Here is a 27,738-nt window from a genome sequence, read left to right on the forward strand (position 1 = left end):
TAGGGGACCCACATAACAAATAGTCTGGCTACCTTTGTGTAGGGCTGCTGCAGTATGCTGGGAGTCCACCACACTCCCTAGTCACCTCAGATTTTCCAGTATCTGAAGGTATCAACAGTGAAGGCTGTCAAACAGCAAAGATAGTGGCCTGCCCCTCCCTCTGAAAGCTCTGTCCCAGGGAGGTATGGACATGTTGTCAGCCCAAACACACCTGCAGGATGTGGCTGGAGACCCCAGTCAAGAGAGGCCACCCAGTGAGGAGAAACAGGATTGGGAAACTGCATAAACAGGATTGGGAATCTGGCTGCATTTTTTGTAGTGCATCTGTGCTGCACTGGAGGCCTACTCCAGCCTCCAGTCACCTCAGACTTTCCAAAGCCCAAAGGCAAGAACAACTAAGGCTGTCAAACATCACAGATGGTTATCTGTCCCTCCCTCTGGGAGCTTCATCCTAGGGAGGTATGCAATCACTGTCGGCTGGAGTTTGGATGACTGGAGACACCAGGTGGCGATTTTGGCCAGTGAAGACAAATGGGATCTGGGTTCCATGTGAATAAGCAGTCTAGCTGCCTCTCCATAGAGTTCCTGGGCTATGCCCTGGGACCACTCCAGTTCCTAATTGCCTTGGACTACCACTTCTTTGGGTTGGGGAAGCTCCCTTGGCTCTGGGTCACTCCTGGGAGGATTGTCATCCTGCCTTGCTTTTCTCCCTTCCCCATGGGTTATTTCTTTGATGAGTCCCAATGTGTGTACCTGGATCTTTCAACTGAAGGTGCTATATTTATTATTACTTGTCCCTTCCTTTTCCCTTCATGAGAGTGGCACACATTAGCTCCTTCTAGTTGGCCATCTTGGCCAACCTCCTTATAATTGTTTATAGTTTCATATTTTCTTTTTCTCTCTCAAACTCTACAAGTACTTGACCAAAGGATGAAATTTTTAATTTGGTTTTAACTTTATTAATTTGAATTTTAAATCAGCAGCAGAAAAAGCTGAGCCCTGGGGCAGAGTGCATGACATTTTTATGTGTGAGGATTATCTGGAAAGAGGGGGCTTATAGTGAAGAGAGAGTCAGAAGCTAAAGGTTCCTGTCTTGCCTCCCTATATGTTTAACATGTAATAGGTGAAATTTCCCTCCCTACTTTGAGCCTTCTGCTCCCCCCATGTCCAATGAAATTAACCTCGATTAGGGCTCTCAAATTTTTATTCAGCAAAACAATCCTTTCCTCAAATAAATCATCCTCAAAACACCTGTATATATAACAGATTAATATGCCTGAGAGATGAGGGTCAGGCTGACTTTGGATGAGATTGGAATCTTACAACTGGATACTTTTTTCACACCTAACACACACTCTACTCCACCCACAATGCTTTCACAGATTTTTTTGTAGTCATTTTTGTATTACTGTTTTAGATTTGGCAGACTAGCTCTAACCTTTTATATTTCCCCTCTTTCCTTTTTCCTTCCATTTGAAACATGGTATGTCTAAGAAACTTAACACTTTTTTTTAAATTGTATTAATTTAAATCTAAATTTAAATTGTCACAGGTCCTTTGACTAGTGACTACTGTGTTGGATGTGCAGGTCCTCAGTTCATCACATGAAACTGAGAAAGGGCACAAGCTTTATTTCTGAAAGCTTTTTTTCTGAAAGCTCTTTCCTGAGACACTCCTGCTCTACTGTGCCTCCTGTAGTCCTGGTAGGCTAACTCTCTTCTGCTTTTCCTCCTTTTACAACTGCTGCTCTCAGTTCCCAGAACCTGAGTTTATTCTACTCCATTATTTTATTTTATTTTATCTTATTTTATAATTTTTTGAGACGGAGTTCCGTTCTTGTTGCCCAGGCTGGAGTGCAATGGCGCTATCTTGGCTCACTGTAACCTCCACCTCCTGGGTTCAAGCGATTCTCATGCTTCAGCCTCCTGAGTAACTGAACCCCATCATTTTTCTGCTGTTTTTCAATCATAGGTTGCTTCCAGGTCCCATCTGCTCTTGCATATGGAGCCACTTCTAATTCTTGAATTTCTCAAATACCTCACCTGTTACAATTTCTTGTGTTTTCCTATCATTTCAATTCTCATTTCTTCATCTTCTCTTGTCTCCCATTGTATTCTTCTTCAAAAATGTTCTCACAGCTTTACTCTTTATACACCCTCAAAATCTTAAAATGGGGTCTTAAAATAGAAATCATAAGGCTAAAATAACAGATTCTTATGACAATAAGATCCAAATTCTAAACATGACCTAAGGCCATGCCAGACAAGGGTCAAATCATACACCCCTACAGGTCACTCTGACCCAGTGTATTGGTTAACAGACTTCCTGATTTTAACTTAAACATTCATTTCTGCTGACTCCATATATTTAGACTAAGCTTTATTCCTTTAGCCAATAGCAAATTAAATAATTTCTGAAACCACATATGACCTGTAAGCCATTTCAAGATATCCAATCTTTTAGGCCAAACCAATATATACAGTTCATGTATTAATTTATGACTTTGCCTGTAACTTCTACTTTCCTAAACTGTAAAAAACAGAGTTGTGACCTAACTGCCTCAAGACATCACACTCAAGGCTTCTTAGGTTTGTGTTGCCCTCTGGCTGTGGTCACTCATGTTGGCTCACAATAAACCTCTCTAAAATATTTTACATCGTTTGGGTTTTCCCTGAACAAGTCAAGTAATAAGAGTGCTCCCTACTGAATTAATAAATATATAAGTATTTTGCATCACTCAATTTATTTGAGAAAAGAAGATATTTTACACTGAATATTGCCTTAATCACTCTTCCATTCAGGAGTCCTAGTGACTTCTTCATTGTCTAAATTTCAATCTAGGGAACATGAGGATGGTAGCCTAAATTTATTGAACACTGATTATTCACCAGGCCTTGCAAAAAGTGTTTTAAATCTGTTATTACACTTACTTTTCTCAAAACTAGTTTGAAAAAATACAGTTCTCTTCTCTTCTTTCTATATGAGAAAACTGAGGTTTGAAGAGGCTAAAAATGTTTCTTAATTCCAGAAAATTGGTTAATGATGGTGCTGTTCCTGACCTCATTCTTCTGACTTTAGAGTCCATGTAATTACTTGCTGCAGTCTACAATATGGGTATGTGAAAACTCCTTTTCTCCTTGCAGCTGGATTGTGAGAAATATAATTCAAGGCACAGGAACATCTTGACATTCTGAGCTAATCCTCATCTCTGTGTGTGGTACAGATAGAACAAATCAGGATAATCCTAGCCAACTGTCCATGGAAATCAAGTGAGGATATTAATAGGAGTATGATGTACAGTATAGGCTAATTATGCATGTGTACTTAGAATTCTTGCTTTTTAGAGCAGGAAGAGAGCAAGTCAACCACCCCATTTTACAGATGGACACACTGAGCTCCAGAGAGGGAAATGATTCCTTACTCATATTCCTTACTCATAATGATTCCTTACTCATGTACATTAGAACTAGATCCCAGGTCTGCTGACTCCCAATCGAGGGCCCAAGTAGTATTGAGGTCTGCATCATGAGACAGTCAACTGTCAGGTTGTGGACCTGAGACACAAGGTGCATTATATTTCTACTGAATGTAATCTTAATCTCATCAGATTGTCTAAATATAAATTCTTTCCTTTTTCAGTGATTTTGTCATCTGTGGCAACTTAGTTTCCTTCTTTTTAGCTAACCTTGGGAGTGACTTTGGCTTATGATGACTGTATTTTCTAAGCCTTTGACAGAGACAGTTCGTGTGTCCATGATTAAGCCATAAAAAGGCTTATTGGTGTCAGTCACATTCAGCATGAGTATACTCTCTGACCTTCTTTGTTTGAGGAGTATTTTGGACTAGAAGTTCTTTCTGGTGTTTTCTTTTGAGGCCTCCCAGTTTCTCTGACCTATCCTGCTCCTACCTCGGAAATTTCTCAGTTGACTGGATCCTTTCTCTTCCTCTTCTCCAACCCCTGCTGACTGTATGCTCCACTACTATGACACCAATTCTGTCCACTTTCTTCCTTATTGATATGAATATACTAACTTTAAGCCCTCTGCCTCCAATGGGTTCAGTTTTTGAGAAATTCAGAAACCCCAAAAGCAACCACGTGTGGCCAAAGCCATTTTCTCCATCAAATTATATGTTAGAACAAAATATTATATTAAGAGTCCTCCATAATATTAGAGGAAAGTTTTCACCCTCATTTAAGCAGATAACCTTAATATGTCCAATCTTCCAGAGAAAGAATTCTAATAAAAATGTAAAGTGGGAATAGATGAGAACCAACTTTTATACAAATTAGTAAGTTTTATGCTTTTGTATTTGTACCTAACTCATTACTAAAATTTTTAAGTGAAATCTGTAAGGTTTCTATTTGTGTCAGTCTATATGTTTATACATGTTTGCTATGTATATCTGACATTTTTCTACCCCCAGATGGTATTGTCTTTTTTGTTTGTTTGAGACAGAGTCTTACTCTGTCGCCAGGCTGGAGTGCAGTGGTGTGATCTCGGCTCACTGCCAACCTCTGCCTCCTGGGTTCAAGCTATCCTCCTGCCTCAGCCTCCTGAGTAGCCGGGACTACAGGCACACACCACCATGCCCAGCTAATTTTCTGTATTTTTAGTAGAGATGGGGTTTCACCATGTTGGCCAGGATGGTCTCGATCTCTTGACCTCATGATCCACCTGCCTCGGCCTCCCAAACTTTTGGGATTACAGGTGTGAGCCACTATGCCCGGCCTGGTATTGTCATATTAATTTATAAAATATCTGTATTAGTCCATTTTCATACTGCTGATAAAGACTTACTCAAGACTGGGCAATTTACAAAAGAAAGGTTTAATGGACTCACAGTTCCACGTGGCTGGGGAGGCCTCACAATCATGGTGGAAGGTGAAAGGCATGTCTCACATGGATGGCAGCAGGCAAAGAGAAAGAGTGAGAGCCAAGTGAAAGGGATTTCCCCTTATAAAACCGTCAGATATCATGAGACTTATTCACTACCACGAAAACAGTTTTGGGGAAACCAACCCCACGATTCAATTATCTCCCACTGGTCCCTCCCACAACATGAGGAAATTATGGGAGCTACAATTCGAGATGAGATTTGGGTGGGAACACAGCCAAACTATATCAATCTCTTAAAAAGAATTCTATTCTAATAGGCTTAGAAAAAAATAAGCACTTCCTTAAAACTCCCAGAAATTTAGTAACTAATCCAAATGTTTTTCAAGGGTATGTAATTTGTATAAATCTTTGATAAGTAAGACATTTGATAGTATTGGCTAAATAAAATCAGATATGTGACTGAGTTGTCAGCATGAAGTATAATGGAGACATACATTTTATTCTACTTGGGTTTACTATCCAAATAAGCTAATATTATATTTGATAGGTGTTGAATATTATAAAACTTATAAATCTGATTTTAATCAAAGTGAGTAATTATGCTAACAACTTTTTTTAGTGATGATTATGTTTTCAGCTAACATTTACTCAATGGTGAAAACTGAAAGCTTTTCTTCTGAGATCAGGAACAAGACATGATACTCACTTTAACCATTTATTTTCAATGTAGTACTGGAAGTCCTAACTGGAAAATTAAGCAAGAAAAATAAATAAAAGTCACCCAAATAGGAGAGAAAAAAGTAATCCCTAAAGACTTCATCAAAAAAAAAATGTTAAAACTGATAAACAAATTTAGTAAAGTTGGGTGCAGGATAGAAAGTCAACATATAAAATCAGTAGTGTTTCTGTATACTAACAACAAACTGTTTAAAAAGTAAATCAAGAAAATAATCACTGCCATGGTCTGAATGTGTCCTCCAAACTGTGTGTAGAAAACTTAATCCCCAATGTAACCATGTTGAGAAGTGTGGCCTTTTGGGAGGTATTTAGGTTATGAGGGTTTTGTCCTCATGAATGGATTAATGCCATGATAAAATGGGCTTCAGGGAATAGGTTCATTCACTTTTATACATACATCTTCTGCCATGTGAGGATGTAGAAAGAGTAAGAAGGCCCACATTAGATGCTAGTACCTTGATCTTAGACTTCCCAGCCTCTAGTACCATTAGAGAATAAATTATTTTCTTTATAATTTATTTATAGCAGCACAAAATAAACTAAGATAATCTCACTTACAATAGCATAAAACAAATAATAAAATACCTAGGAGTAAGTTTAAACAAAGAAGTGTAAGATAAGTATACTGAAAACTATAAAACACTGATGAACGGAATTAAACACAAGTAAATGAAATATGTCCCATGCTCATAGATTCAAAGAATTAGTATTGTTGCAACATCCTTATTACCCAAATCAATCTACAGATGCAAAGCAATCCCTATCAACATTCCAATGTCATTCTTCACAGAAGTAGAAAAAAATTTCTGAAATTCATATAGAGTAACAGAAACCTCAAAGAGCCAAAGCAATCTTGATCAAAGAGAACAAAGCTAGAGGACCCATGCTATTAAATTTCAAAATATACTACAAAGCTATAGTAATCAAAACAGCATGGAACGACCATAAAAGTAGACACACTAAACAATGGATAGGATAGACAGCCCAGAAATAAACCCACACATATATGATTTTCAACAAAGGTGCCAAGAATCTACAATGGGGAAAGAACAGTATCTTCAATAAATGGTGCTGGGAAAACTGGATATTCACATGCACAGAAATGAAAGTGGATCCTTAGCTCATCCCCTATACAAGAGTCAACTCAAAATTCATTAAATACTTTAATGTAATACCCAAAACTAAAACTACTAGAAGAAAACAGAGGGGGAAGAAAGAGCTCCATAACATTGATCTGGACAATAATTTCTTGGGTATAACCCCAAAATCACAAGCAGCCAAAGCAAAAATAGACAAATGGGACAATACCAAACTAAAAAGCTTTGCACAGAAAAACAAAACAAAACAAAACAAACAAAAAAAACCAGAGTGAAGTGACATGGAAAGAGAGAAAATATTTGCAAATCATATATCTGATAAGGGACTAAAACTTGAAATATGCTAGGAACTCAAACACATCAATAGCAAGGAAACAATAAACCAACTAAACAGTGGGCAAAGGACTTGAATAAAGATTTCTTAAAAGAAGACACACAAATGGCCAATACATACATGAAAAAATGTTGAAAGTTATGTTAAGCAGTGGATATTTATTAAATACGTAGATCATTTCTAGCTAAGAAACTACTGAAACATTCATTGCTAAACCTAAATTTGAGCTCATATAATTTTGGCTTCTAATTTTTATAGAAATATTAATATTATTAATTACTAAACGTGGAATTTTTCAATTCCACATTGAAAAATTGCACTATTACAGCATATTTATAAAATTTGCTAATCTTCTATAAAATTCTTATATATGACAGATAAATCACAACAATCTACTTTCTCATTTTCTCTGTAAAAGAAAGGTTACTAATGATTGAACATTATAATCAATATATGTGCATAAAAACACTAGAAATAATGAGGGTGAAGGGAAGCAACATTGCATACATGAAAAGTATGCAAGGAATATTGTGTGTGTTTCTATTCAGGGGGAAAATAAAGGGTAACTTTATCCTTAAGTAAAATGAACAAGTTGATTTCAGTTACACAAAGTAAAATGTTACTTTTGTCATACCCGAGTATTATTACCATAAATAATAGTACCATAATATAAGCAATGAAGAGCCAATGGAGGACTTGAGTAGGGCAACAAGATCAGATTTGTATTTGGATTTGTGTCCACCATTCAGGTAATATCTGTACATAAATAAAATGGATAAACTACCCTGCAAGTCAAAAAGAAGGCCCATCATATTCATGTATAAAGGAACTATATTATAAAAATATTACTTTTCCAAAATTTATGTGACTCCTTCATCAAAATTAGGTGTTTTTTTTTTGGTGGACTAGATACAATGTCTCTAAATTACATCTGTGAAGACACATTTTTAAAAATATCCAAGAACACAGTAAACAACCGAATAAAAAAGGGATGGGTGGACTACTTTATTTCACCTTATATCTATTTATTTACTGAATACTTACCATGTGGCAAATTCAATGCTCTTCACTGTGATTACAAGGTAAAAATTATTAACAGATATAGGCAAGGCCTTTTCCTTAACAGAGCCTATATTCTAATAAATTAGAAGGCAGTATTTTGAAGAGATTAAAATCACTGGCTTTGGGAAAAGCAAGATTTAATGAAAGGAAGAGGGGTACTTTTTTTTTTTTTTTTTTTTTTTTTTTTTTACCAGAAAGGTGAAATGTGTTATACAAGGCATCCATGGTAAGGTTCTAAGAAGACTGTTGGAGGATAAATTGAAGGGATTTTTTTTTTCTAAACTTAGAGCAAATGTAGAGATAGCAAGTCAACATGGTCTTTGGCATGAATGTCATCTCTGTCCATTCTAGCATGGTTAGTAGCTAGTTGGTAGCTCCAGCAAATGAATTATCCCTTTGAGTTATCCCTATCTCAGTTTCTTTTTCTCTTATACAAGACTCAGAGTGGTATATACCTCACAGGATTATTATGAGGAGTAAATATGATGAGAAATGTAAACTCCATAGCCAGGTGCCGACAGAATGAAAAGAATGAATGAAGGTGTAGATCCCCAAGTAAGTTGATATGGAGTGAAGAATAAAAACAGAGGAAAAAAACGTAGATCATAAAAATTCCAGAATTTTAAAGTAAAAGGGAAAATAGTGGACAGGGCTTGTTCATCCTGAAGTTTGTTTACTCAGCAATGAAGAGATGAAGTTTTCCACTCAAAGTCATGTGGGTGGAATGGGATCAGATAGTGGAAATAAATTGCATAAAACAAAGAAAATGGTATGGGACATGTGGCATAAAGTAGGGACATGACATTAAATCAGAAGCTTTCACTGGAGTCTAAAGAGCTTAGGTAAATAATGATGTTAGCAGGATCACAGAGTCCCCTGTATGGAACTTTTTCTATCTTTCTCCACAACCAAGGTCTGGAGCAGGAAAATAAGAAGCTGAATTTATCCCAACTTGGAAGAAAGAAGGAAAAATAGAGAGCAGGACATCAAGAGAGGATGGACGTGTTAAGGAGCTAATTATTAACGTCAGACTGTGGAATTCAAGCTAGTACAGGAACACAAAGCCACAAAAGAGTGCTAACTACTCTAGGAGAGATTAAAGCCTGTGAAATAGAACTTTTCCAGATAATGGCGAGTTTTTAGGCTTGCTCATGCTGAAGCTTAATATAAGCTAATAAGTAGAGAAATTAGGAGGCTTGGATATTGCAAACTTTATTGGTTGGGGTGTTACCCAGGCTAATAGAAAAAAAATTATATCCTAGAAAGACAGAACAGGTGCGACTTCTGAGAAGAAAGGTTAGAGAAGACTAGAAAGGCTGGGACCACCTTGAATTTGGCACACACACACACACACCCACACGCACACACAAAATCACCAAATGATCTGGAATGTGGTAGGTCATTAATCTGCTTTGCAAATGTCAGAACTTTAGGATCCCAGTACTTCTTGTTCTCAGGATCCACAACCAGAAATCACAAGTACAGAACCTCCAGGTCTGTCTCTTCCTGCTGGAACAGGACACATCAGAGGGGTTGGTTCCGGAGAGGGATCAAACTCAGAAACAGCCATTAAAGTAAACTCATGCCAAGCAATTGGTCACTCAGCTATGCGATGAGTCAGCCTCCACTGCTGTACGTCCTTGGCTACAGACTCCTGGAACAGCAGCTCTTCTCAAGGCTAGTTGTGACAGACTCCTGGAACAGCAGCTCTTCTCAAGGCTAGTTGTGACATCCAAAGTGACAAGAGCAGGCCCATATTCAGCCACCTCATCCAGGTAACCACTCTTTGACTTCTCTCTCCTTAGTCCAAGTCAGCGGTGGGATCTCTTCAGCCTTCCTCTCTGTCAGTGGGTTTCCCTCTTTTTCCTCTAACACCCTCCTTTTGTTTCCTCTGCATATTAAAGTAGAGAAAATGTCACACTTATTTATGGTTCTCCTTCATTTCTCTTTATGCCCCTGCTACAATTTTGAAAGGAGACAGAATGGATAGAGTAGGGCGTGAGCAAGTTAAGGAAATGGACGGGGAAGGTATCTTCTCCCTGGGCCTAAATATTTCACTCCTAGCAAAGAAAAGTTGGGCTAAACAAATTGTCAATTTAATATGTTTAAACTCTACTTATATTAATATCAGTTGATTCTTTCAATATCCTATGAAGTTCATACTTTCTGAGGCCTACACTTCTCAGAGACATTAAACCAAGAATTTGAACTGCCATCTCTCTAACTCCAAACTCTGATTTCTAGCATCTCACTCAATTCAAGGTCATATGTCATATGTTTTTTGTTTTTTTTTCTGATTCTTGCATCAGGGAAGGTATACACAATTTTTATTAAGCATGACCAACAATTCTATGTTTAACCCATTCTTTATATTTGAGCCCATGTGACTGACCTGGCAAAGAGAAATTTAGCTGGGAAATAAAGGGCTTAAGTGTGGGAGAAACTGGTCCATCTCAGGGAATCACATGTTATAGGGTTATATGTCCAAGATTGTACAGGACAGCTCTCAGTTTACACCTGTTACCTCAGAATTCTTATGAATTCTTTACATGTCTGTATTCACTAACAAGAAGGCAGCAGCTTAGGTAATTAACAGCGAGATAATTAGATAATTGTAGGGTGAACCTATGTATAGGTAATAGACTTTGAGTCAGCCCTGATGAATATTGGGCCTAATTTTTCTTCCAGGCCAGAACTGTGATTGTCAGCTAGTTTTTGGCAGAAAAAAAAAAGTCATTTTTTTATGTTTTTCATCTTCCTCTTGAAAGCAAAAGGGCTCTCTCAGGCCTGAGTTCCTGGAGACCAGGTCAGTATAAATCACCAGGGCAAGTGTACAGGAATGGTATCACCTTAGGGTATTGTGTTCTCTCACATTGGAAAAGCTAGCTGTGGGGGAAACTAAAAACAATCTTGGGCATGTTCACAGGCCTTATCAAAGAAGAGTCTTATATGAGATCAAATGGCTGCCTTTCCCCACAAGATTATATTTTTCCTGGTATGCTCTACTTTGACACATGTGGCTTTCTCAGGTGAGTAACCTAAGAGGTTTTGGGAGATAAACTCTGATTTTCTTAAAGTTATAGGAAAGAAAACGAGTAATTTTTTACTTTTATGGGAAATATTTTGCTGAAATGTAAGCCAGTGCAGTCCAAACTGGGTATAATTAAAATGTATATTCTTAAATAGAAAAACCAGACTTGTTTTCTACATGGTGGAGTCACAACCTCGTGTCTATTCTGTCAATTCAAAAGAAATCCTCTAGAGCAGAGAAAATTGTGATTTTTTTATTGTAAGCAATATACAGTATAATTATTATTTTTCCTAGAAAAAATGATGCATTTTCTTATGGATTTCAAATATGATAAATGATATGATAAATATGATAATGAAAAATAAGCCAATGAAAAAAGCTATTTCTGTGATTGATGTTGGGTTGATATGTGTCTTTAGAGTTCAGTAGTAAAAATCATGAATGTATAAAAACAAAACCTATGTTACCTGCTAATTATAGATGGAATAATGCCTCCCCAAAATATCCAAGTCCTAATCACTGGAACCTGTGAATATGTTGACTTGCATGGCACAGGGGACTTTGCAGATGTAATTTAGTTAAGGATCCTAAGATTGAAAAATTATACTGGACTATTCAGGTGGAACAATATAATCACAAGGATTCTTATCAGAGGGAGGCAGGAGGGCCCAAGTCAGAGAAGATGTGACAATGGAAGCAGAAGTTAGAATGGTGCAGTAAAAGGGCCATGGGCCGAGGAACTCAGACAGCCTGTAGAAGCTGGAAAAGGTAAGGAAATTAATTCTTCCTTAGAAACTCCAGGAGGAATGCATCACTGCTGACATCTTGACTTTAGGACTTCTCACCTCCAGAATTGTAAGATAATAAATTTGTGTTTTGTTAAGTCACTAAGTTTGTGACAATTCATTACAACAGCAATAAGAAAATAGTACACCTGCAAATAAATTACAGATTAGTAAAGCAGACACTATAACCTCATGTTTGCATTTCCAGATCATCCTTAAATACATGGTACAAAGTAAATGCTCAGTAAATGAATGTTTAAAAATGTAGCTATTATCAATTGATTGCCTGCTATGTGTAGGTTCTCTGTGATATACTTTATTATTTTAAATATGCCTCAGTTGGATAGAATTGGATTAATCACAATACTTGGTTCAATAAATTTCATTGGGTTCAATCAAAAAGCACCATGAATATATCATTCTTGCAAAAATCTAGACTACTGACAAAAGTTCAAATCCAGTAATGTAGTATTCAATCAACCAATTCTCTTGTCTATCTTCATCCAAGAAAAACACAATTCTACATCTTTTTTTAAATTTATTTTTTCCCAAAATTCTTACTTCAGTTTCAGTCATTCTAAATCTTGTGTCCATTCTTCTCATGCTCTTATTTTTAATATAGTCTTTTATTTATACACATCATGGAAAATATATTTTTATAATTATTTTAACATTTATGTAACATTTATATAACTTGTCATAAAGGACTTTTTGTTTTGTTTTGTTCTGTTGGAGACGGAGTCTCACTCTGTCGCCCAGGCTGGAGTGCACTGCAAGCTCCGCCTCCCGGATTCACGCCGTTCTCCTGCCTCAGCCTCCCGAGTAGCTGGCACTACAGGCGCCCGCCACCACGCCTGGCTAATTTTTTGTATTTTTAGTAGAGACGAGGTTTCACCATGTTAGCCAGGATGGTCTCCATCTCCTGACCTCGTGATCCGCCCGCCTGGCCTCCCAAAGTGCTGGGATTACAGGCGTGAGCCACCACGCCTGGCCTATTATTAGGACTTTGTAGTTCAATACTATATGAAGAGAATATTTTCATCTTTTGAAATTTGCTTTTTCCTACATATTGTTTAAATTTATAAATATTCATGTGTGCAGTTGTTCATTTAGTTTCATTGATGAATAATATCACATCAATGAATAATATCCCAATGTGCGACCATACCCTAATTTCATTACTCTTTTGTTGATGGACATTTGGTTTGCTTACAAATTTATGATGTTAAGAGCAGAGCTGGTAGAAATATTCTTATACATGTTTTTTGATGCACGTGAACGAGAGTTTCTCTTAGGTATATATCTGGAGTATATAGCAAGAGTAGAGTTGCTATGCTACAATGTGTGTGAATTTTCTATAATAGAAGATAATGCCAGATGGTTCTCCAAAGTTACTGCATGAACTAATAACTTTTCATTAGAAAATTAAAATTTAAAAAATATTAGATAATAAAAAAGTTTCAGATGATGGTGCAATATATAAATTGAGATTCTTTTTTTGTTTTCCTTCCAGAAGCCCAATTGTTTTAGTATGGTTTGTGGAAAGGATGATTCTTTTTCCCCTAAATTGTTCTTTCCCCTTTGCCAAAGAGAACTTGTCCATAGAAGTGTATATTTTTGAACTTCTTAGATGCCTATATTTCTGGACTCTATCCTTTTCACTGATCTATTTGTTTATCTTTATGCCAATCTGTTATGAAAATGTCAGACCTTTAGGATGTCAATACTTCCTGTTCTCAGGATCCACACCAGAAATCACAAGTACAGAACCTTCAGGTCTGTCTTTAACAAATTAACTAAACCATATTTTAAAAGAAAAATATGTTTACACCAAAATGGGAGGAATGGAACTAACCCAACTTATCTTTGAATCTATTAGTTGAACTATATATTCTTATTCTAAAGACAAAAAAGTCATTTATACATTGAACTCTAATTTGTAGGCTTACATTTTGCAAAAGCATGGAATAAGAATTCTGTAAATGCAAATATAGTTTTGTTCAATATTGCCAAATTTTACTTCATAAACATTCTTCCAATTTGGATTCCCACCAGGAACCTCTTTCTCAACAGCTAATCTGATACGTGATAAATGGTATTTCCATATAGTTTTAATTAGCATTTTTCTTAGCATGAGTAAGGCTGAATTTCCTTTAGAGATTTAAGGGTCATTTCTGTATCTTTTTGAGTATGTATGCTTGCATAAATTATATTTGCATGCATATTGTCTGCTCTTCAGTTAGGTTTCTTATTTTTTTCTTCCCTCAATTTTAATGAGTTCTTTATAAATTATGCCCTTTATCAAAAATCTTTTTAGATTGTATATGTTTATTTTTTGCCAGGAAGTTGTTTTCATTTTTAAGTAAAAAAAAATGCATCTGTGTTTTCTGTTATTGTATTTAGATTAATGAATCTTTATGATGAAAAAGGAATTATGTCATTTTAATTATTGTATAGTTTTATTTTTTTATGTTTAAATCCTGATTCATTTGGAGTTAATTCTTATGTATGATGTGCAGTATATACATGTAATTTTGTTTCATTTTTACTAGATGAAGACCTTTATTTTTCTTTTCTTATAACTATATCCAGCTACTTTTGTCATAAAAATATTCTGACCTTTCAGAAGTAGATAAAAGCATTCTATCTTTTTTGTTCTCTGAAAGAGTGTACATGTAATCAGCAAGACCTATTCCTCGAAAGGTTAGTAGTCTTTTCTTTGTGGGAAGATTTCTAAATATCGTGCAGAATTTTTCTTTTACCTTCTGAAAATTCTAACTTTTGGAAAGTCAGAATATTCTATGATATTTTAAATATCACTTAACAGTGACAGATAAGTAAGAGCATAATACAATAAGTACTTTCTTATTTCATTTTCCCACAGGCAGCTAGTCACCCTCTGTCCCAGGCAACACCAGCACCCCTCATACAACCAACCCATAAAGTCAGTATCCTGAAAGCCAGGGAACTCCCTCAGTTTTCTTATCATAACTGTGCCCACTTTAATTCAGCATCTTGGTAGGAACTGGCCTGATACATTACTTACTATATCATATTTACTTTTTTAAATTTTAAAAATGCATGTAATTACCCCAATTGCAGTGAAGAGGAAGCTAAAGCCAATAAAAGTGAAAATAAATAAATACAATTATTTTAAGTTATATATACAACCTCAGTTTTTACTCTTTCCTCACTGATACAGCAAATTTATAAATAAAATCAATACTGTGAAAAAGAAAAAGTGGATAAAGTAATTTAAAAAGGAATGTTACTGCAAATTCTATTGCTATTAAAATTCTTTTGTATATATTTTCATTATTCAATTTTACATTATTCAATCAGTGACTTCAGTAGGTGATGTTATATCCCATGGAGAACTATTTCCTTTAACTTACTGTGTTTATTCTTTATTAGCAGGAATTTTCAATAAACGTGACTTCACTAGGTGGCCTAAGGTAAATTTAAATTTCTCAGTTCTAGGTTGTAATTCTAGTCTAATCACTCTCCAGACATGAGAGATCTAAAACTTCATGGAAAGTCAGGCACAGTGGCTCATGCCTGTAATTCCAGAACTTAGGGAAGCTGAGGCAGGAGGATCACCTGAGCCCAGGAGTTCAAGGTCGGCCTGAGCAACATAGGAAGATCCTGTGTCTAAAAAAATACAAAAATTAGCCAGGTGTGGTGGGGCAAGGCTGTAGCCAGCTACATGGGAGGTTGAGTTGGGAGGGTCACTTGAGGCCAGGAGTTGGAAACTGCAGTGAGCCATAATGGCACTACTGCACTCCAGCCTGGGCAACAGAGTGAAACCCTGTCTATAAATAAATAAATAAATCTTCATGGAGGTAAAGCAGAATAGAAGGATTCTATGTGACCTTGCACATAGACCTCTCCATACTTAGATTGTCTCCCATGTAGCACAAGCTTTAAAATATAATATTTTAGTAAAATAAATATCTTTATAGTCAAATAAGATATTGAGTAAATATATCTCTGATCATTAAGTAAAATAATACCTGCCATGTGTTCAAAGTCACAAAGCTAAACCGTGGTAAATCCAGGGTTTATTCTCAGTTTTAATAAGTTTTGGGATACATGTGCAGAACATACAGGCTTGCTACATAGGTATACATGTGCCATGGTGGTTTGCTGCACCCATCAACCTGTCATCTACATTAGGTATTTCTCCTAATGCTATTCCTCCCCTTGTCCCCGCTCCCCCAACAGGCTCCAGTGTGTAATGTTCCCTTCCCTGTGTTCATGTGTTCTCATTGTTCAACTCCCACTTATGAGTGAGAACATATGGTGTTTGGTTTTCTGTTCCTGTGTTAATTTGCTGAGAATGATGGTTTCCAGCTTCATACATGTCCCTGCAAAGGACATGAACTCATTCTTTTTCATGGCTGCATAGTATTCCATGGTATATATGTGCCACATTTTTTTATCCAGTCTATCATCGATGGGCATTTGGGTTGGTTCCAAGTCTTTGCTATTGTGAATAGTGCTACAATAAACATATGTGTGCATGTGTTTTTTATAATAGAATGATTTATAATCCTTTGGGTATATACCCAGTAAAGAGATTGCTGTGTCAAATGGTATTTCTAGTTCTAGATCCTTGCGGACTCACCACATTGTCCTCCACAATGGTTGAACTAATTTACACTCCCACCAACAGTGAAAAAGCATTCCTATTTCTCCACATCCTCTCCAGCATCTGTTGTTTCCTGACTTTTTTTCTTTTTTTTTTTTTTGACGGAGTCTCACTCTGTCACCCAGGCTGGAGTGCAATGGCGTGATCTTGGCTCACTGCAAGCTCCACCTCCTGGGTTCACACCATTCTCCTGCCTCAGCCTCCCGAGTAGCTGGGACTACAGGCACCCGCCACCAAGCCTGGCTAATTTTTTGTATTTTTTAGTAGAGACGGGGTTTCACCATGTTAGCCAGGATGGTCTCAATCTCCTGACCTCGTGGTCTGCCCGCCTCCGCCTCCCAAAGTGCTGGGATTACAGACGTGAGCCACTGCGCCCGACCTGTTTCCTGCCTTTTTAATGATCGCCATTCTAACTGGTGTGAGATGGTATCTCATTGTGGTTTTGATTTGCATTTCTCTGATGACCAGTGATGATGAGCGTTTTTTCATATGTTTGTTGGCTGCATAAATATCTTCTTTTGAAAAATGTCTGTTCATATCCTTCACCCACTTTTTGATGAGGTTGTTTTTTTCTTATAAATTTGTTTAAACTTCCTGTAGATTCTAGATATTAGCCGTTTGTCAGATGGGTAGATTGCAAAAATTCTCTCCCATTCTGTAGGTTGCCTGTTCACTCTGATGATAGTTTATTTTGCTGTGCAGAAGCTCTTTAGTTTAATCAGATCCCATTTGTCAATTTTGGCTTCTGTTGCCAATTGCTTTTGGTGTTTTTTAGTCATGAAGTATTTGCCCATGCCTGTGTCCTAAATAGTATTGCCTAGGTTTTCTTCTAGGGATTTTATGGTTTTAGGTCTTGCATTTAAATCTTTAATCCATCTTGAGTTAATTTTTGTGTGAATTGTAAGGAAGGGGTCCAGTTTCAGTTTTTGGCATGTGGCTAGCCAGTTTTCCCAACACCATTTATTAAATAGGGAATCCTTTCCCCATTGCTTATTTTTGTCAGGTTTGTCAAAGATCAGGTGGTTGTGGATGTGTGGTGTTATTTCTGAGGCCTCTGTTCTGTTCCATTGGTCTATACAGCTGTTTTGGTTACTGTTGCCTTGTAGTATAATTTGAAGTCAGGTAGCGTGATGCCTCTAGATTTGTTCTTTTTGCTTAAAATTGTCTTGGCTGTATGGGCTCTTTTTTGGTTCCATATGAAATTCAAAGTAGTTTTTTCTAATTATGTGAAGAAAGTCAATGATAGCTTGATGGGAATAGCATTGAATCTATAAATTACTTTGGGCAGTATCGCCATTTTCACAATATTGATTCTTCCTATCCATGAGTATGGGATGTTTTTCGATTTGTTTGTATCCTCTCTTATTTCCTTGAACAGTGGTTTGTAGTTCTCCTTGAAGAGGTCCTTCACATCCCTTGTAAGTTGTATTCCTAGGTATTTTATTCTCTTTTTAGCAATTGTGAATGGGAGTTCACTCATGATTTGGCTCTCTGTTTGCCTATTATTGGTGTATAGGAATGCTTGTGATTTTTGCACATTGATTTTGTATCCTGAGACTTTGCTGAAGTTGCTTATCAGCTTAAGGAATTTTTGGGCTGAGATGATGGAGTTTTCTAAATATATGATCACGTCATCTGCAAACAGAGATAATTTGACTTCCTCTTTTCCTATTTGAATACACTTTATTTCTTTCTCTTGCCTGAATACCCTGGTCAGAACTTCTAATACTATGTTGAATAGGAGTGGTGAGAGAGGACATCCTTGCCTTGTGCTGGCTTTCAAAGGGAATGCTTCCAGCTTTTGCCCATTCAGTATGATATTGGCTGTGGGTTTGTCATAAATAGCTCTTATTATTTTGAGATACATTCAATCAATACCTAGTTCATTGAGTGTTTTTAGCATGAAGGGGTGTTGAATTTTATTGAAGGTCTTTTCTGCACCTATTGAGATAATCAAGTGCTTTTTGTCATGGTTCTGTTTACGTGATGGATTGTGTTTATTGATTTGCATATGTTAAACGAACGTTGCATCGCAAGGATGAAGCCGACTTGATCATGGTGGATAAGCTTTTGTATGTGCTGCTGGATTCAGTTTGCCAGTATTTTATTGAGGATTTTCCCATCAATGTTCACCAGGGATCTTGGTGTGAAATTTTCTTTTCTTGTGTCTCTGCCAGGTTTTGGTATCAGGATGATGCTGGCCTCATAAAATGAGTTAGGGAGGAGTCCCTCTTTTTCTATTGCTTGGAATAGTTTCAGAAGGAATGGTACCAGCTCCTCTTTGTACCTCTGGTAGAATTCAGCTGTGAATCCATCTGGTCCTGGGCTTTTTTTGGTTGGTAGGCTATTAATTACTGCCTGTATTTCACAACTTGTTATTGGTCTATTTAGGGATTCGACTTCTTCCTGGTTTAGTCTTGGGAGGACGTATGTGTCCAGGAATTTATCCATTTCTTCTAGATTTTCTAGTTTATTTGCATAGAGATGTTTATAGTATTCTCTGATGGTAGTTTGTATTCTGGAGGGATTGCTCGTGATATCCCCTTTATCATTTTTTATTGTGTCTATTTGATTCTTCCCTCTTTTCTTCTTAGTCTGGCTAGCAGTCTATCTGTTCTGTTAATCTTTTCAAAAAACCAGCTCCTAGATTCATTGATTTTTTGAAGGGGTTTTTGAGTCTCTATCGCCTTCAGTTCTGCTCTGATCTTAGTTATTTCTTGCCTTCTGCCAGCTTTTGAATGTGTTTGCTCTTGCTTCTCTAGTTCTTTTAGTTTTGATGTTAAGGTGTCGATTTTAGATCTTTCCCACTTTCTCCTGTGGGCATTTAGTGCTATAAATTTCCCTCTGAACACTGCTTTAGCTGTGTCCCAGAGATTCTGTTATGTTGTGTCTTTGTTCTCATCAGTTTCAAAGAATATCTTTATTTTTGCCTTAATTTTGTTATTTACCCAGTAGCCATTCAGGAGCAGGTTGTTCTGTTTCCATGTAGTTGTGCAGTTTTGAGTGAGTTTCTTAATCCTGAGTTGTACTTTGATTGCACTGTGGTCTGAGAGACTGTTTGTTATGATTCCCGTTCTTTTGCATTTGCTGAGGAGTGTTTTACTTCCAATAATGTGTTCAATTTTAGAATAAGTGCGATGTGGTGCTGAGAAGAATGTATATTTTGTTGATTGGGGTGGAAAGTTCTGTAGATGTCTATTAGGTCCACTTGGTCCAGAGCTGACTTCAAGTCCTAAATATCCTTGTTAACTTTCTGTCTCATCAATCTATCTGACAGTGGGGTGTTAAAGTCTTCCACTATTATTGTGTGGGAGTGTAAGTCTCCTTGTAGGTCTCTAAGAACTTGCTTTATGAATCTGGGTGCTCCTGTATTGGGTGCATATATATTTAGGATAGTTAGCTCTTCTTGTTGTATTGATCCCTTTACCATTATGTAATGGCCTTCTTTGTCTCTTGTGATCTTTGTTGGTTTAAAGTCTGTTTTATCAGAGACTAGAATTGCAACCCCTGCTTTTTTTTTTTTTTTTTTTTTTTTTGCTTTCCATTTGCTTGGTAAATCTTCCTCCATCCCTTTATTTTGAGTCTATGTGTGTCTTTGCACATGAGATGGGTCTCCTGGATACAGCACACTGATGGGTCTTGACTCTATCCAATTTGCCAGTCTGTGTCTTTTAATTGGGGCATTTAGCCCATTTACATTTAAGGTTAATATTGTTATATGTAAATTTGATCCTGTCATTATTATGCTAGCTGGCTATTTTGCCCATTAGTTGATGCAGTTTCTTCATAGTGTTGATGGTCTTTACATTTTGGTATGTTTTTGCAGTGGCTGATACCGGTTTTTCCTTCCCATGTTTAGTGCTTCCCTCAGGAGCTCTTGTAAGGCAGGCCTGGTGGTGACAAAAATCCCTCAGCATTTGCTTGTCTGTGAAAGATTTTATTTCTCCTTCCCTTATGAAGCTTAGTTTGGTTGGATATGAAATTCTGGGTTGAAAATTCTTTTCTTTAAGAATGTTGAACATTGGCCCCCACTCTCTTCTGGCTTGTAGAGTTTCTGCAGAGAGATCCACTGTTAGTTTGATGGGCTTCTTTCCATGGGTAAACCGACCTTTCTCTCTGGTTGCCCTTAACATTTTTTCCTTCATTTCAACCTTGGTGAAGCTGACATTTATGTCTCTTGGGATTGCCCTCCTTCAGGAGTATCTTTGTGGTGTTCTCTGTTTATCCCAAATTTGAATGTTGGCCTGTCTTGCTAGGTTGGGGAAGTTCTCCTGGATAATATATCCTGAAGGGTGTTTTCCAACTTGGTTCCATTCTCCCCATCACTTTCAAGTATACCAGTAAAATGTAGGTTTGGTCTTTTCACATAGTCCCATATTTCTTGGAGGCTTTGTTCATTCCTTTTCATCCTTTTTTCTCTAATCTTGTCTTCACACTTTATTTCATTAAGTTGATCTTCAATCTCTGATATCCTTTCTTTTGCTTGATTGATTTGGCTATTGATACTCGTGTATGCTTCATGAAGTTCTCATGCTGTGTTTTTCATCTTCATCAAGTCATTTATGTTCTTCTCTCAACTGGTTATTCTAGTTAGCAGTTCCTGTAACCTTTTATCAAGGTTCTTAGCTTTCTTGCTTTGGGTTAGAACATGCTCCTTTGGCTCAGAGAAGCTTGTTATTACCCACCTTCTGAAGCCTACTTCTGTCAATTTGTCAAACTCATTCTCCATCTAGTTTTGTTTCCTTGCTGCCAAGGAGTTGTGATCCTTTGGAGGAGAAGAGGCTTTCTGAGCTTTGAAATTTTAAGCCTTTTTGGGCTGATTTTTCCTCATCTTTGTGGATTTATCTACCTTTGGTCTTTGATGTTGGAGACCTTCAGATCGAGTTTTTGCGTGGTCATCCTTTCTGTTGATGTTGATACTATTGCTTTCGTTTGTTAGTTTGCCTTCTAACAGTCAGGCCCCTCTTCTGCAGGTTGGCTGGAGTTTGCTGGAGGTCCACTCCAGCCCCTGTCTGGTTATCACCAGTAGAGGCTGCAGAACAGCAAAGATTGCTGCCTGCTCCTTCCTCTGGAAACTTTGTCCCAGAGCGGCACCTGCCAGATGCCAGCCAGAGCTCTCCTCTTTGAGGTGTCCGTAGACCCCTGCTGGGAGGCATCTCCCCCTCAGGAGGCACGGGGGTCAGGGACCCACTTGAGGAGGCAGTCTATCCCTTAGCTGAGCTCAAGCACTGTGCTGGAAGATCCACTGCTCTTTTTAGAGCCAGCAGGCAGGAACGTTTAAGTCTGCTGAAGACGCACCCACAGCTGCCCCTTCCCCCAGGTGCTCTGTCCTAGGGAGATGGAAGTTTTATCTATAAGCCCCTGACTGGGGCTGCTGCCTTTTTGTCAGTGATGCCCTGCCCAGAGAGGAGAAATCTAGAGAGGCAGTCTGGCTACAGCAGCTTTGCTGAGCTGCAGTGGGCTCCACCCAGTCGGAACTTCCCAGTGGCTTTGTTTACACTGTGAGGGGAAAACCACCTACTCAAGCCTCAGTAATGGCGGACGCCCCTCCCCCCACCAAGCTTGAGTGTCCCAGGTCGACCTCCGACTGCTGTGCTGGCAGCAAGAATTTCAAGCCAGTGGATCTTAGCTTGCTGGGCTCTGTGGGGATGGGACCTGCTGAGCAAGACCACTTGGCTCCCTGGCTTCAGCCCCCTTTCCAGGTGAGTGAACAGTTCTGTCTCCCTGGCATTCCAAGCACCCCTGGGGTATGAAAAAAAAAACTCCTGCAATTAGCTCAGTGTCTGCCCAAATGGGCACCCAGTTTTGTGCTTGAAACCCAGGGCCCTGGTGGTGTAGGGACCTGAGGGAATCTCCTGGTCTGCAGGTTGCGAAGACTGTGGGAAAAGCATAGTATCTGGGCTGGATAGCTCTGTCCTTCACAGCACAGTCTCTCATGGCTTCCCTTGGCTGGGGAGGGAGTTCCCTGACCCATTGCACTTCCCGGGTGAGGTGGCGCCCCACTCTGCTTCTGTTTACCCTCCGTGGGCTGTACCCACTGTCTAACCAGTTCCAGTGAGATAAGTCAGGTACCTCAGTTGGAAATGCAGAAATCACCCACCTTCTGCATTGGTCTCACTGGGAGCTGCAGACCAGAGCTGTTCCTATTCAGCTATCTTGCCTGCAGTTTTAATAAGTTTTAATACAAAATCCTTATTCTGACCAATGACACTTGAGGTCTGTCCTCTAGAAGTTCACAAACACATAAGTATCTCCACTCATAAACATCCTACTGGAACTGAAACATGAAGGTTAAACAGGGATATTAAAATGGTTATGACTTGAAGAGATGATAGGATGGGTGGGGACACTACAATCAGAAAAAGAAACTGGCCTGACAGAAGGCCACAGAACAGTGAATCCTTGATAAGATCAATTGACTGGTATGATTTAATATTATTTTTTAAGTGGGGCAGAAGTGACAGGAAGAAATAGATGGGAGAGAGTGTATTATTTGTCACTTTATGGTGTCATGTATTTGCAGCCCCGATGTAAAATGTATATCCCACTGGACCCTGATTACAATGCAGACTGCCCCAATGTGACAGCACCTGTTTGTGCCTCAAATGGCCACACTTTCCAGAATGAGTGTTTCTTTTGTGTTGAACAGAGGTAAGTTCAGAATAAAATGCCATTATTTTTTCCCTCTACTTCTTCACAGAAATTTCAAAGAAACATAGTCAAGGAATTGGGTTTTACTGATGCATACTTTTTTTAAAAAAATAGCCTCATTATTTACAAAAACTGGGGACAGACTACAGAGAGAGTGAAGAAAGTCTCCTAGAATTTAGTTAGTATTCAAAGTTGAATCATTTAAAAAAGAAAAAAGGCTTACATAATGTTCTGGGAGAACTGTACAGAGATTATATTTGTAGGTAATCTGTAGATTATATTCAAGCAATAAATGGAAATCTAGTTATTTAAAAAAAACACTGAACTTTTTTTATATGTCACATTGACAAACCTATGAATAGCACCTATCAGTGTTTGGTAGCTATTAAGAGATGTAGAAAAAGATGCAGATGCAGCTATAGCCATAGACAAACGTATAAACATAGATGCAGGTATAGATACACACACGAGTAGCAAAGGGTGGTCTTACATGCATAAAAATTGACAGTCAACTTTTCATATTGTTTTTGCCTTTCAAATAAATTCAGTAGGAAATTTAGACTAAAGAATTAATAATATTCCTTACAATGTATATTTAGCTCCATTCAAAATTGTTTTCACAAATCAGCCCTGTGTCTTGTCAGTTAACTTCTTCATGACCTGTGAGATCTTCTCTGTTGAGGTTCCCCAAGACTATCTTCAGGCTTGAGGATTCAGGAGGACTCATAAAACTCAGAAAAGCTGTTATATTCATGGTAACAGTTTATTATAATGAAAGGATACAAATTAAAATCAGCAAAGACCAAAGATGCATGAGGTGGAGTCCCCGAGAGAGCAGGCACAAGTTTCCAGCTGTCTTCTCCCAGTGGACTCACAGAAGCGATACTTAATTCTCCCTGCTACCATGACAACACACATGAAGTATTGCTTACCAGGGAAGCTCACCCAAGACTTGGTGTTCAGACTCTTTAATGGGGGTCAGTCAGGTAGGCACAGAATACCTACATGGCTGATCTTAAATACTTAATCTCCAGCTCCTCCCCAGCCAGAGATCAAACTGATATGGAGTGCTCCAGGACCCTAGGTAAACAACAACAGGTGTTCATTATAAATTTCATGGCTAGCATAAACTCTTTGGCAGACCCAGGTCCTGGATATACAAACATACCCTATTGCACAGACTATTCCAAGGGCTCGTAGGTTATCTCCCAGGAGCTGGTTTGAGCATGCCAAGCCTGCTGAGCCAACTCTTCTGCACAGCTTTCTTTGAAAATAATCCTCATGAGCTTCTAGTATCATGCTTTCAATGAGGATTATTCCATTTCAGAGGATAATTGAAATGTCCTTTAAAGAAAAAGAATGTAAATGTAAAAATGTAAGTTAACCAGGTCTCTACTGTTGGCTCTACTGTTCTCATTAAAAGATGAACGAGATACCAGACTATATAGAATAATTAAGTTACATTATCCTTCCTTCCTAATGCGGTTACTGTTGATTTCTTAGAAATGAGATAGTCAGAAAAGAGACTTGGAAATGTCTTTGTAGCTCTTCCATGTAATATTTCTGTTATACTCTGTGGTGTTTGTACACACACTACTAAAAAGAGCAGTGTAAGAGGGTCTTGCTGATAATGCCCTGGCCTCTGGAAAATCACATAGATTCAAACAGACACACAATGTGGGCCGTGATCTGCCGGACTATTACTTCACAACTTCCCACAAAGATCATTCTAAGATTCCTTTCAGGCTCATCTAGGAAATGTGAGGAGGCTGTAACCTCACGGAATGGTGTTAGCAGCTCAAAGATCAGGCCTCAGATCTCCTTGGCAAAAATGGGGATGAGGTTAAAGAAACAATCCCTTCTTTCCTTCCTTCCTCCCTCCCTCCCTTTCCTTCCTCTCTTCCTTCATCAATTCCTTCCTTCTTTCCTTCCTTCCTTCTTTCCTCCCTCCCTCCTTCCCTTCCTTTCCTTCCTTCCTTCCATTTTTCCTTCCTACCTTCTTTCTTCCTTCCTTGGGCTTCTAGGTCATCCTCCAGAAGCTGGTAATAATTCCTGGTGTAGTAATTCCTTCCTTCCTTCCTTCCTTCCTCCCTCTCTCCCTCTTTCCTTCTTTCCTTCCTTTCTACCTTGTAACTCTGAGAGATGTACTGTGACCACTCTAGTTTTTATTTCTCAGTCTAAGAATAAATGAAGAGCCCTGCTGGTTAAAATAGTTAAAAACCGTTCAGTAACATTGTAGCCAATAGGAGCACAGTTCATATCAAACATATCTTATTCTGGAACACAGAAAATTAATTCCAATGGCAGGAATGGTGCAGTGACATGCATATTTGCTTAATTCTCCATATGACCTGAATGTATAAACTTAATTTTCATGCCATTTCTATATCTCGGGGCAAGAAGAATAGTCCTAATGCTCTTTTGAACAATAGGAGGAGAAGGGTAATTCCTTGGTCTCTGCTCTTGGCAGTGTTTTGAGGAAAAAGCCCTGGCAAATTGGACTCACTGCTCTCAGAGATATCTGCCACTTGTGAACAACGTAAAATCTTTGAAAAACAATGATGAATCCAAGACTTGGCTAGAATTTATAGAGTCATATTCTCTGTCCTTAATGAATCCCTCAAGCCTACTCAGCCTAGCACTCTGGTAATATATGCTAGGAAAAGAGAACATTACATGAAACAGTCCATACTCTTAAAAAGCTTGTGGTCTTATTTGACAAAAAGAACATATGCATGCAAAGTTGATGAGAATAGAAAGCAACCTTGGTTTTGTTGGACAAAAATGATGTTTTAATACGTTTTGAAATCATTGATAGAATTTACCCACAAATGCAGATTTCAAACTTGCTTAGTGATACTAAGCAAGGATTTCTCAGGCAATAAATAAGCAACAGCTGCCTCCTAGTAGCTCCCTGTTCAAATGGAGATCATGTGTTCCAAACAACCATAGTTCTTCCTCTCTCTTTTGTGATGGAAGTGGCTCACATCACTTACTTATATTACCCACTAGGCTCCAAGCATTTATGTTTGCAATTCCTGAACCAAATAAGTGCATTAGATATATATCAAAGGTGAACCTGATTATAGGGGTTGGTGTGGGAAGTCTCTTGAAGAACGAGAGGGCTAAAGGAGTTTTAAAGAAATGGAACACAAAAAAGAAAATGGATTGTTCAATCTACACAGTGCCAACTGTTTGGGAAAACACTTGGAATCAAATAAGTGTGCAGTGTCTTTAGAGATGTAATACAAATATGATGCTGAAAGGAACATTATGTATTTAGAGAATAGTAATATGTAAAGATGGAAAATAATGCAGAGGCTAGTCTTTTGTGAAACATAAATACCCAAGTAAGGGGAATAGACTACAATCAATGGACAGTGTGAAAACAGTGAAAAATTTGAGCACAGAGCAAATTGCGTGAATTATGCATAGCATTATTGCTGTGGTTATCTTTTACCTCTTGGTAAAAAAAAATCTGGTATTTCTATGTTGAATGGAAAGGTATTGAGATGGGAATGGGTTAGGGGATGAAAAACTCTACATAAAAAATGTCATAGGACACCTTTTGAATAATCAAGACATGGAGAAAGAATGTACAAATTATAGTGGTAACAAACAAAAATGAAAAAAAAAAAGAAGGATGTAAAGGGAATTTAAAAGCAGCTCCCTTTTCAGGACCTCTTTTAGAAGATAAGGAAAAGTACATTCAATACCAATGTTCACTTTCCTTATGATACTAATCTTCTTTTTTTCTCTTCTCTTTAGGGAATTTCATTATCGTATAAAATTTGAAAAATATGGAAAATGTGATTAATGGGTACCAGAGTAACTACACTTGCTTATTCTTTTTCTACTTAATTCAGAATAGTATTTCTTTTAGAGTGTGAGAATGTAAATTAAATAACATCCCTATGCTGTACTTAAATGTCGAACAAAATGAGAGACAAAAATGAAGGAATCAAACTGACAAGAACCAAATATCACATTTGTTACAAATAAACAACAAAAGAGCTGATATTCATTTCTGTGTATTGATTGTTTTAAGTCATCTTACTCCCATTTTGGGTAGTTTAAATTCTCTTCACCAGTTGGGCTTAACACTACCTAAAATTATACTTACCACCAATTGCAGGCCTATCTGCAGAATTAAACCCTACCCCACTAATATAATTAAAAGACATGGAGCAAAAGAGAAAATATCCTTCCTACAAAAGACAGAGTCCAAAGGAAGGAATCACTGAGTTACTCAGGTCTAGTGCTACTTTTCACCGTTCACAAATGGATGTTATACTTTCTGTGGTTGGAGAAGTAAAATACCATGGAGAGAGGAAGAGTATTAGGCTACTGGATGATTCCTACTCAAAGAAAGAAAGGACACTGGTATGGAAATAAGGAGACATGAATTTTGCCCTCAATTTTGCCACTGATTAACTATAATTTTGGGTCACATTCACTATCAGTGTCTCTGGCCATAGTGGCTTTAAATTTTTCTTGGTTCCACTTACTGTTTTGTTTATACAAAATAGTAAGTCATCCACTTTACTGGTA

General features: G+C 37.8%; 1 protein-coding gene and 1 long non-coding RNA gene across 4 annotated transcripts in view; one reads left to right on the forward strand and one right to left on the reverse strand.

The window, feature by feature from the left end:
* Positions 1-9,262: 9,262 nt before the first annotated feature.
* The window catches only part of FBXO38-DT (FBXO38 divergent transcript), a 115,544-nt gene continuing 97,068 nt past the window's right edge, over positions 9,263-27,738 (reverse strand). Inside the window, exon 5 of the long non-coding RNA NR_105057.1 lies at positions 9,263-9,960. This is a non-coding gene — a long non-coding RNA (FBXO38 divergent transcript). The remainder of the gene's footprint in view (positions 9,961-27,738) is intronic.
* SPINK13 (serine peptidase inhibitor Kazal type 13) lies at positions 9,750-27,211 on the forward strand. Of its 3 annotated transcripts, NR_138538.2 has the most exons (6): positions 9,750-9,844; positions 10,996-11,098; positions 11,720-11,868; positions 15,300-15,340; positions 23,060-23,187; positions 26,956-27,211. NR_138538.2 is itself a non-coding variant. In NM_001040129.3 (5 exons), the coding sequence occupies exons 2-5, from the start codon at positions 11,029-11,031 to the stop codon at positions 27,002-27,004; spliced, it is 285 nt and encodes a 94-aa protein (NP_001035218.1). In that variant the 5' UTR covers positions 9,750-9,844; positions 10,996-11,028; the 3' UTR covers positions 27,005-27,211. The 3 variants fall into 3 exon arrangements, 2 of the variants coding, with proteins under 2 accessions (NP_001035218.1, XP_047272756.1); NM_001040129.3 differs by lacking the exon at positions 11,720-11,868 and having other exon boundaries at positions 15,303-15,340; XM_047416800.1 differs by lacking the exons at positions 9,750-9,844; positions 10,996-11,098; positions 11,720-11,868; positions 15,300-15,340 and adding an exon at positions 20,051-22,238.

The sequence above is a fragment of the Homo sapiens genome, chromosome 5, assembly GCF_000001405.40.
Source record: "Homo sapiens chromosome 5, GRCh38.p14 Primary Assembly".
NCBI classification, from domain to species: Eukaryota; Metazoa; Chordata; class Mammalia; order Primates; family Hominidae; genus Homo; species Homo sapiens.